Source organism: Homo sapiens, chromosome 12 (genome assembly GCF_000001405.40).
Source record: "Homo sapiens chromosome 12, GRCh38.p14 Primary Assembly".
NCBI lineage: Eukaryota > Metazoa > Chordata > Mammalia > Primates > Hominidae > Homo > Homo sapiens.
Window position 1 is genome coordinate 82,802,862 of NC_000012.12, and position 12,479 is coordinate 82,815,340.

Consider the following 12,479-nt stretch of genomic DNA (forward strand, 5'->3'; position numbering starts at 1 on the left):
CATAGGATACTTAGAGATGCTCCGGCGATGGAGACACATTCAAGGAGCTTCTGTAGTATTCCTGGTTTGTAGTCATGAGGGCTTGAATGTTATTAATGAAAGTCGGAATGTAGAGAGAATGACAAGATGTGTGACATATTGTAAAAGTGTTATCAACAGGACTTAATGCATGTTAGAATATGAGAAGGAATCAAAGATGACTCCCATGTTTTGATCCAGGGTGTCTAGGAACACTGAGTGGCAAATGTAAAGAATACAAGAGGATGTTAAATTTTGGCTATGTCATCCTTAAGTGGCCAGTATGATATTGTATCCAGATGAATGCCTCACAAGGCAGTTGGAAATGTGAAAGACTTGGTGAGAGGAACAAATATTGGACTCATTCTCATTGACAAGACATTAAGACAGCTGAGTTTGTTACAGTAGGTAGCTAGCCAGGCAGGAGCTGGGCTAGAGGAGGCTCCCCACTCTCCACCCACCAGGAATATCAGGCGATAATCAGGTGATGGTTCAGCAGTTATCACAAGGCCTCTCTGAAAATGACGGTTGGCTGCCAGCACCAGGGAGAGGCAGTTTCCTGATGGGTCACAGTTGTTACATGAAAGTGATAATTGATCTCAGGTGCCAGGGAGAGAGGAGTTTCACAGTAGATAAAAACACTTGAAATTGCTAATTGGCAGCTCAGGAATTGGATGAGTAGGCTTGGGCATGCGCATTAAGAGACAAAATGGCAAGAGTATCACCTTCCAGAAGCATTTCACTGGAAAAGGGAAAAATGCTTCGGTTGAGCATGCATACACCTCCAGTAAACACACTGTGCATGCTCACCTCCCAAATGTTAGCAGGCCACCAGGCATGCAGGCAGCCCACCCCAAGGAAAGGATCACGGTAAAAGGGACGCAAGACACCGGAAGTAATACCAACATATAAAACCCCAAATCAAAAGGTCAGACACTGCACTTGACCTCCAGAGTTCCTGCTTGGGTCTCTTCCAAGTGTATGGTCTTTTGGTTCCTGTCCTAAAGCTTTTTAATAAACTTCCACTCCTACTCTGAAACTTGCCTCGGTGTCTTTTTCTGCCTTGTGCCCTTCAGTGGAATTCTTTCTTCTGAGGAGGCAAGAATTGAGGTTGCTGCAGACCCCTATGGATTCATCTCCGGCAGTTTAGATATTTATCACATCCCTAACAAGTTCAGGGACATGAATGCTATTTCAAAGAAAATAGGGTTAAAAACTTCAGGCTCTGGAGGAAGAACTGGAAAGAAGAGAGTAATGAGCTTCAGAGAGCAGAATGAGAAGTGCAGCCTCACAGAATAGTCCAGGAGAGAGCATGAAGAAGTCAATGCAGTAGTCAATAGCATGAAATGTTTTTATGAGATTAAGGAGGTTGGTCACCTTTCAGAAAGAGAGGTTTTGGCTAAGAGTTTAGGGGCCTAGATCAAAGTAAATGGAGTTAAGGCATCTATAAGTGTTCAGAAAGTGGAGACTGCTTTTATTGACTTCCTCTGAAAATTTCTAGAATTTCTTTGAAAAATCATGGTGTATTATTTCTGTTACCTAGAAACTTTTTCTGAAAGATAAATCTTGGGGCTTTTAATGGAAGAGGTGTTACTTCTTCACTCCTGGACTTTTTAAAGCAATGATAATTTTTGTTTTAATAACAAAGGGCGGGCTTTGCAATAGGTGCTTAGCTAAATATTTTTTTTAATTGCTCTTTTGAAGCACCTTATCTTTTCATAAATATAAAAGGGCTTTCTACAAAAGCCTCAAGTGCTTATTGACCAACTGATAGCAATTTAAAATTGACATGTCAGTTTTCAGAAGGAGTAACTTTTTCCGGTATTGAATAGTGCAGTGAGGCTTTGTTGCCCAGAAATTTCAAGTAGCACTCAGTTTTCATAAGAAATCTTGCATTTGAAGAGACTGGAAGTTGCTTTCCATCACAACCATTAGCATATAACAGGCAGACCTAACTAAGAGTGTACATGGGCCCTACGTAAACACAGTGGATTGCTCCTGTTAGAAATGCTTGTTCCCTGGTGCCATAAAAAAATAGCACTTGAACATAAATTTAATTTCCTCAGCAAGGCCATTTTTAGTTTTTATAGAAAGGGTACACTCTCTAGCAGTTTTGCCATGAGAGTACACCAAACAAAGGAGACAGGGTCATTTATAACATGAGGCGTCCACCCTACTGCTGTGTCTGGTTTCCATTGGCTGGAACAGGACCTCACATTCTGTATTTGTCCCTATTGGCTAGCAACGTAGAACTTTCAAAAAGAGGCAAAGGTAGAGGAGAACAAAGGAAGGAGGAAGTAACTTGTGGAATGCTGAGAAAGGTAAAAATACCTTCAGATAAGGAAGAGGAACAAGCTATGACCTAATGCTTGCTTGGACCAGTATAAGCATGCCAGGACAAATATTTAGGCTAAATTGTGGGAGCTAAGAACATAAAGTACTTTGATTTCTTTATTACAGCTAGCAGATATTTAAGAATGTTAGCACAGGTCTTTGAATAAATTTTGCTTCTAAGAGAAGTTATTATGTATTCCTAATTAGATGGGAGGAAAGTCTTTGAAGAGGAACCTCTACATTACTTTTTACACCCCTTAGTAAGTTTACTCTCCTCTCCCCACTTTTTTTTTTTTTTTTTTTTTTTTTTTTGAGACAGAGTCTTGCTCTGTCACCCAGGCTGGAGTGAAGTGGCGCGATCTTGGCTCACTGTAAGCTCCGTCTCCGGGGTTCACGCCATTCTCCTGCCTCAGCCTCCCTAGTAGCTGGGACTATAGGCACCTGGCACCACGCCCGGCTTTTTTTGTATTTTTAGTAGAGACGGGGTTTCACCCTGTTAGCCAGGATGGTCTCGATCTCCTGACCTTGTGATCTGCCCACCTCAACCTCCCAAAGTGCTGGGATTACAGGCATGAGCCATCGCACCCAGCTGGCTTTTCCACTTTTTGAAAAAGCCCTTGGCCTTTCATTGCTATCATCAGTGGTGCTATATAAAATTTTTAGTTTTTTAATTAACTCACCAAGTCTTTATTGAACATCTAGTTGGTGCTAGACACTCTACTCGTTCTGGGAATACTGAGATGAATGATACAGCTTTTATCCTTGATGATGCAGCTCATATCCTTGAGGCATATGCAGTTTAGTAGGGGAGGCAGAGAAGTAAGCAGATAAATCAAAATTCAGACAGTGTGGGATATGAACAAGGTGCTGTGGAAGCATCTAGAGGGGAGGGAAGCACTGGGAGGAATTGGAAGGAAATCTTATTTTGTGCGTTGAGTTAAACATTGTTAGATGGCAGCAATCTAAGTGGTTCACAACTGACAAATGATTCAGGAAATTCTGTTTTCTTTACTGTTTTCTGCCAACTCTGACAGCATTTTTTTAAGACAAGAAAAAAAATGGCTCAATTAGTCACACAAGTACAGTAAACTTGAAATTACTTAAGTAGTAAGGAGTTATGACTGATACTCCATGGCAACCATAGTCAAATTCCTCCAACTTGCCTGCAAGGACCAAAGAAGAATCAGATACAGTATTTGGCATTGTATTTATTTTATCCTTGGTATTTGGCATTTTTGTTTATTCTCCAGTGGGGATAGATACGGAACGTGGATATACAGTTGACCTTTGAATAATGCACAGATTAAGGGCACCAAGCTCCGTGCAGTCGAAAATGTGCATATAATTTTTGACTCCCCAAAAACTTCATTACTAATACTATTGACTATACGCCTTACCAATAAGTTAATTAACACATTTGGTATATGTATTATATACTGTTTTCTTACAGTAAAGTAAGTTAGAGAAAAATATTAACGGAAATATCTTAAGAGAGAAAAAAATATATTCATTGTTCATTAAATAGAAGTGGATCGTTATAAAAGTCTCCATCCTCGTTGTCTTCACATTGAGTAGGCTTCAGAGGAGGAAGAAGAGGGGGGTTGGTCTTGCTGTGTTAGATGGCAAAGGCAAAAGAAAATCTGTATAAGTGGATCCACACTGTTAAAACGTTTGTTGTTCAGGGTCAGCTGTATATACACCATTCTTAAGTACATGGACTGTGTACATATTTTGTCCATGAAAATCTACCCATGATTTTATGACTCCTAGCACAGAACCCTGTTGAGTTCAAAACGAGCTCCTAACATGTACGATTGACAGCTGTTTGAAGCAAACAGGAATTGATATGTTGATCTTTAAATTCTAACTAATTAATGGAAATATTCAGAAATATTCGGAGATATTAGTGTGCTGTTCATTCAATATGACTTTTAAACCTATGAAACATATATAAGGAAGTGATTGTGTTCATTGTCAAATGATTTTTCACTTTATAAAGGGATTTACCCAGGGTTCCTTTAATTTGATAGTTTTACCCAGTGCATTTAATTGTTAGTTTCCAAACCATTAATTCCTTGACAGAAGACTGGAGAGGCAGACAGCTTAAACCAGAGTGTGAGGAACAAGCCTCTAAATTTTATTGTTTGAAATGGAGCAAAAAGAAGGGTAACTAGTTCCCTTTCATTCAGTGTCAATTGTTGGGGAAATATTTCATTTTCATATCCTGTGTGAGTGCTACCTCTAGGAGATAAAGTAGGTATTTCAGTGTAAGTTTCTTCTGTGTCTTACTGCACCAAATATGGACTTAGAAGCATCAGAGACAATGCATGACAGAGACAATGCATGTTTCTAATGACTGATGGAAATAAGGTCCCATAAATCTGTTTCTGTATCTTAGGGGAATTATATATGGTCTTTGACTGTGGGGCCAAATTGAATGAGGAAGCATCATGTGAGGTAGAATGTGTCCTTACAGAAAGAGCTAACAAATACAAAATATCCAGACTCATTTATTCTGGGATAGCATAAGTAGACCAGTGATCTAATACTCCTACAATAGGTGATGGAGCCATCCTAATAGATAGATTTGAGATTTAGACTGGGAAGTAATAGTCTGAACAAAAGAGAGTTTATGAATTTAATTAAGGTAGAACTTTAAAAAAATTAGATGGATGATTAGAAGACACAGAATCATCCAATTTATATTTGTAGCTACCTAAAAATTATTAGGACTTTCTTATAATGGGCTTTAAAAATTTTTAGGTTTTATTTGAGACTGTTTAATAATGATTTGGACAAATTTTAATTGGATGCAGAAATTGGCATCTCTAGATTCAGTTTTTAAAAAACTGAATCTTAAATCTTAAAAATATCTTAAAAAAACTGTTTAAAAAACAGTGGCTGCATCTCTGGGGATTAAAAAGCAATAGAGAATATTAATATAAGTTGAACCAAAATGTCATTAAAATTACAATTACCTCACAGTAAAAATTATTAGCTAAATTACCCAAAAACAACATGAATTTTTTTAAATGTTTCAGAAAAAGAAATATGGTGATATAATTAATATACATGTATCTTAAACTTTTTTCTTGAAGTTTTGTTATGCTTGCTTAAAAAATAGACAGTATAATTTTATTTCTTTAGCGAATATAAGAAGGTGGTGTGTTAACTACAATAAAATAACTTTTATTGATATAGTGCTTTGTAATTTTAAATGTTCTTTTATGTATATCATCTTATTTAATCTTTAACCAGGTAGTGAAGGAATTATTGCTGTCAGTTCGTAGATATGGAAACTGAGCTGAAACATTAAATAAATTAATCATCAAGAATTATAAACCCTTACTCCTTTCATTTCTTCATCTGTTTATTATTCAGACATATATTGGTCACCGTTATATGCCAGGAGGCCCTCTATTGGTATTGGAAGCAAAATTTGTACTTGCGTCTTTTGGTATCTATTCCAGTATTCTTCTCCTGCCACTGCTTGCTGCATCTCAACTGCAGTTCAGAATTACAGTTTAAGTGATAAGCCTTTTTACTGGACAGAGTTTGGGATTAGTTTTTATTTTGTAATAGATACATAATATTTTTCTATTCTAACATTTTAATGTATAGATTTTCTATAATCAGCCTTTTGTTTAAAGTATAAATTTGTATTGGCCAAAAGTTTTGTCCATTACTATATAAAATTACAGTTAAATTCTTATATAATCTCTTTTTCCACTTGGTATGGAAAAGATTCCTCTTTCAAGATTTCTTAGGCTTCTAAATCCATTGTTTGATTTTTTTTTCTAGGAAAGAAGCTATCTTAATTGACTTTTTATTCTGAGTGAATGAAAATAAGATTCAGAAATTATTTATATAATTTATATATTATTTATATATCTATAGTATTTAGAAATAGTAAATAAAAACATTCATGGTAAAGAAACAAAGGATATTACCGCTAATGACCAATAATATGCATTGGTCATAGGAAGAATATTCCAAATCTAGTTTAATAAATTGTTCTTGGTTATATATTTAGACTTATGCTAGGTTCTTCATAAGATTTTTTTAACAGAGAAAAATCTACAGATCTTGCATTGCATGTGATTATAACCTGGTTGGGAAGAGATACTAATAGCTCCATTACAAATTGGAGTGAAATATGTGTAGCCAATTTCCTTGACTATACAGAAGACTGAATGCTTAAGTCCTCTGGGTACAGTTTTGTAGGGTAAAGGAGACAGTTGTATTGGGACTCATTTTAAAGGATGAGCAGATTTCTGCAGGGGAGATGGATATTTTGAGATTGCACACCAGAATTTTAAAAAGTGTTTAAACATACAGTATATAAGTATGTCTACAAATTGGATTTTTAAAAATCTTATTGCTGTTAGGTATTCTCACAAATACTTAAGTCATTCACAATTTTTTCGTACTATTTACCTATCCTCCCTGGGATTGAGTACGTGTTGGAGGCAGGAGCAGATTCTGTGTATGCAATAAGTCATTGCCAGTTGCCTGGAGCACAGTAGTTTTGGGACTAGAGTGTGAATGTGAGTTGGGATTCATATCAGGAATTACTAACATACAAGAAATAATTATTTCTTACCATTTTCCCTGGACTAATGACTCTGAGAAGAAACCTGGAAGAAACATCATATTTGATACGTCTAGTATTTCATCAGCCGTTTTTTATTTGAAGGAAATACTTACGGTATGGGGTCATAGACTTTGAATATTCTCCAAATTAGGCTGGTCCTTTCTGTATATATCATCTTAATCTCTTCATTTTAGAGGAGCTGAAATGCTGAGAATTTATATACAGAATCTTTTTGTGGAGAAATTTAGAATGTTCTGGTCATGCATAATGATACTATTGTTTTGGATATGGAGAGAAATTGTTCATGATTAGAATCTATACATGCTTAATGAGAGAGAAGACTGAATTATAATCAGTTGCTTTTGCATACCAGTTTCTTTAAAAGCATAGAAAAAGTGGACTTTTTTTTTTTCTTTGCTGTGGTCAAAGGAAGCTTATACTGATTACTGTCAAATGTTAGATTTTTATTTTCTTTAAAATATAGTGGATGAGATTTTAATTTGCTTTTCATGTAAAAGGCAAGGGTGCAGTGTTTATTTGAATTCCACATTACAAACTTTTATTTTTAAACAACAGAATTTTTAACAGAATTATTTTTATTTTTTTTATTATTTTTAAAATTATATTTAAAATTAAAATAATTTTATTATTTTTAACAGAATTATTAGAAAACAAAACAAACATTTTACTTACAAAACATTGACCCCAAAATTGGGTCTGTAAGATCCTCTTTCAAGTATGGGAAGTTTTGTATTTTCCAGCAAGGTTTTTATAAAACAGAAATTAACTGTTTTTCATTCACTTTATGCAGGAAATAGTTATTGTGCACTGAAATGGTTAAGCTTTGTGTCCCCACCCAAATCTCATCTCGAATTGTAATCCCCATAATCCCCACGTGTCAAGGGAGAGACCAGATGGAGGTAATTGAATCATGGGGCTGTTTCCCTCATGCTGTTCTCATGGCAGTGAGGGAGTTCTCACAAGATCTGATGGTTTATAAGGTGCTCTTCCCCCTTAGCTGGGCACTTCTCTTACCTGCTACCTTATGAAGAAGGTGCGTTGCTTCCCCTTCACCTTCCCTCATGATTGTAAGTTTCCCCAGCGATGCTGAACTATGAGTCAGTTAAATCTCCTTCTTTTGGCCAGGAGCGGTGGCTCACGCCTGTAATCCTAGCACTTTGGGAGGCTGAGGCAGGTGGATCACTTGAGGTCAGGAGATCGAGACCATCCTGGCTAACACAGTGAAATCCCATCTCTACTAAAAATACAAAAAAATTAGCCAGGCGTGGTGGCCTGTAATCCCAGCTACTTGGGAGGCTGAGGCAGGAGAATCACTTGAACCCGGGAGGCAGAGGTTGCAGTGAGCCGAGATGGAGCCACTGCACTCCAGCCTGGGCAACAGAGTGAGACTGTCTCAAAAATAAATAAATAAAATAAAATCTCCTTCTTTTATAAATTACCCAGTCTTGGGCAGTTCTTTATAGCAGTATGAAAACGTACTAATACAAGCACCTATTTTGTATTAGGCATTTTTCTAGTGATTGTGCTGCAGAAAGATCTGCCCTTGTAGAAATTTTATTCTCATTAATTAATTAGGTTTTGGCCAATTTCTTATATATTTTACAATAATAGTATTAATTTAGTTGCTCACCATACATATTTCTTAAGCCAATATTATGTATAAATTCTAAGTAGTGTTGTCACAGAAAGAAATGGAAAAATCAGTACAAATGTATGTATAAGGAACATTGGGGAAAATTGTTTAAAGCTTTAGTATTTTCAAAGGATGGGTCTGAAGTTTCATATATTTGCAAATCATTTTAGAAACTTAAAATATAATTTAAATTACAATGATAAGAGCTGGTATAAGTTTTTCTGAATGAATGAGCCGTTTATACTATGAAAAGTATTTTTTAATATTAGATCCCTGCTTATAGGTAAAATTACTTAGTACATTTTTTTAAGATTTATTTGAAGTTTTCTTTTCCATGCTCTCCTTCTTTTTTTTTTTTTTTTTTTTTTTTTTCTGAGATGGAGTCTCGCTCTGTCGCCCAGGCTGGAGTGCAGTGGTGTGATCTCAGCTCACTGCAACCTCACCTCCTGGGTTCAAGCAATTCTCCTGCTTCAGTCCCCCCGAGCAGCTGGGATTATAGGCACCTGTCACCACACCTGGCTAATTTTTGTAATTTTAATAGAGACATGGTTTCGCCATGTTGGCCAGGCTGGTCTCGAACTCCTGACCTCAGGTGATCCACCTGCCTCGGCCTCCCAAGGTGCTGGGATTACAGGCATGAGCCACATTCTCTCCTTCTGAAGATATCTTAACACATCTGAAACTTTAAGAGAATGCTAGTACCATAATTTTTCTTTTTAAGTACTACTTTTCACTTACTGATACTTATTAGAAGTAAAATCAGTTATTGCAGTTGTCTCAGACTGTCACTGCATGTAATTTCAACTGCATGTAATTTCAACTGTTTCTTTCTGTAATAGTGGTTGTATTGAGATTGATTCATGAAACCTTAAGTTCCTTGGGAATTAAAAAAAAGAATCCCATAAGAAGTAAGGAGTTTATTTTAAAGTAATGGCCCAACTGGAAATCTGCATGTCATAAAATTTGTCCATTTAATGGTAATGGAAAGCATCAACTGACTTAGCCAAGTTTTTTGAGTGGAAGGGTTATTTAAGGTGACATCTAATCAGTTTGAAATGTATATAGATCCAAAATGAAATGGAATTTTATTAAATTAAACTATTGGATATTTTCTGTATCATGTGGAATAGCTATAATAAAGACAGTTAAGATAGAATTATGGAAAGCATCTTTTACATGTGATAAAAGATGGTTTCTGTAGGTTTATTGAAATAATTAAACACATTAGATTTTTATTTTTGACTAACTCGGTTTGTTTCTCTCCCTCTTCCATTTTCTTTTGCTCTTATTTTTTTTATGAAAATCTTGTAAGCTTATAGAAAAATATTGATAATTAACTATTTTTTAATGTAAGAAATATTACTGATCTTAAAACATGATTTGTAGGATTAAAAACAAATTTTTAAAAATCATAAAATCACTTAGAACAATCTCTATCCCTATAATAGCAACTTTCACTTTTGATTGTTAGATTTAACTGGTATATGTAATTTAGTTATTTGCCGTCACACTGTGAATCCAGTTTTTACCATTCAGTGACAAATTTTCAGAAATATATCAGACTAGTACTTTACATATGTATATATGGATCATTATGTTTATATAAATATTCCCCAACCTCACTGTAATAGTGTTTATCTGTATCTCTTTCTTTTAAAATGTGTGAACTCAGCTATGTAATACTTATGCCAATATGTATAGTTTTAAATATTCTAGCATCTCTGGCAGATACTATTTTCTACTTGAATGCTTATGTTTATTTGGAACTCACTACTCTGTAACAGCAGCTGGTTATGTTCCTGGGCAGGTTTAATAGTCATTTTGTCATACTCAGTCAAAATGTTCTTCCTTTTACATTTTTCGTTAAGTCTTGTGAAGCCACACAGAAGTGATCTACTCTCTTTACCAAGTGTTAACTTTGCATATATTTTATGGGGATGATTCTATCCCTACTTAAGATTTTCTCTTCTCAGGTTAAATATTCCATTTCCTTTGTTCAGGAGTTTCTTATTTGGCCTTCTTTCTAAACCCTTAACCATTCTGCTTATTCTCTGCTTGACACATGCTATTTAATCAAGGTGACATTTAAAATATGGTCCTCCACAGAGCACCACTATGAGTCTCCTACCTCCCTTGATCTATAAACTATATTTTTACAGTTTTATAAGATTTTTTGGCAGTCAGTTTATGATACTGGCATGGGAAATTTCTTGCCTACCCTCCCTACCCTTTTAATCTGTATTTCCTTTATCTGTTTTATATATAGCAATATTTTTAACCAAAAACTTAAGACTGAGTTTTCTATGTACTTATTGATTTAATGTTTATGGTCATTCATTTATGGTTAATTTCAACAAATACTTACTGAGCTCCTGTGTGCCAGATATTCTAGTAGGTGCTGGTAGAAAGTGGTAATCAAAGTATAGTACCAAACTTTTAAATTTCCTCTGGTTTTAATGTTATGTTTATGATACCCTCAGAGGGAACAGGGAATAATAATGAAGATGATAATGATAGCCAGAGATTATAGCATACTTAACAGGTGCTGGCATATTTACCTCTCACAACAATCCTTAAGTCACAAGTACTATTTATTATTCCCATTTTGCAGATGAAGAAACCACGGCTTATTGAGATGAAGGTACTTGCTCATGGTGAGGTCATGGATGGCAGAGCTAGCATTAGATTCCAGTTAATCGGCCTGCAAAGTAAATTTTATTAACCACTCTGTTAAGTAAGAAACAGTGTTACTGAATTTGAAGTAAGGGAAAAAATTTGTTTTTCAGATGAATGACAAAGACTTCCTGGAGGAAATGGGCTTTGAAGAAGGGGAACTATCCATTCAAAAGAAACTCTCACCAGGAAGAGGCATAAAAGAATGAGATGGAAAAGAACAAAGCTCCATGGGAGAATACTATTCGTGTAGTTTGGCTACATGGGGACAGACACATAAGGCATGTTGAGGAATACAAGATAGGAAAAAGATTAGAGACAGATTGTGGCAGACATCAAGTGCCATGACAAAATGAATGTATGTTGTTAGTTTTTGAGCAAGAATGTTGAGCATAGTCATCTCCTGCCTTAAAATTGTTATCTTGCAGTAGTATTCACGGAGGATTATAAAGGAAGCAAGTAGATAAGAGAGAAAAAGAACCAGAATTACCAATCATGATTAGAAGGAACAAAAAGGACAGACACAAAAGACAGGGTGTTCCTTAAATTGTTTGACTTTAAAACCAAATGAATATTGGAGTAAGAAAGAAGTGGTAACTGAAAATCAAGACACTGACAACAGAAATAGTCAGATGTGGTTGAGGAACATTATTTTAGGAAGATGAGGAATTGACCTTTACATTGAGTTTGAAATACTACTGTAGAATCCAGATGGAATTATCTAATGAGCAGTTTGAGAATCAGTGCTGTAGCTCAGGGGAAAGTTGAAAATGGAGAAATAGACCTGATTTTAGCTGTGTAGAGGGGAAAACTGAGTTACATATGGAAGTAAACATACAGGTGCTAAAGAGGATGAGCGGGTGTAAACCATATGACATCAGGACATTGGAGGTACTGCTTCTAGGCTTGGAGATGACCAGTGGCATTTTCTGATAGTAGTGTGTGACAAACATCAGCTTGACTGTTTTCTTAAGGACTTTGTGTACAGTTTTCATGTAAGCTCCTGGTTCATGCATTTCTTTCTTTTATTCTTTTTTTTTTTTTGGAGACAAGAGTTTAGCTCTGTGGCCCAGGCTGGATGGAGTGCATTGGCGCGATCTTGGCTCACTGCAAGCTCCGCCTCCCGAGTTCACGCCATTCTTTTGCGCATTTATTTTTTTTAATTAATTAATTAATTATTTATTTATTTATTTAGAGATGGAGTCT

The 12,479-nt window shown here is 35.7% G+C and overlaps 1 protein-coding gene across 6 annotated transcripts in view; it reads left to right on the forward strand.

Annotated features, from left to right (window-relative positions):
- The window catches only part of TMTC2 (transmembrane O-mannosyltransferase targeting cadherins 2), a 447,961-nt gene that overhangs the window by 115,956 nt on the left and 319,526 nt on the right, over positions 1-12,479 (forward strand). The window lies entirely within an intron of this gene.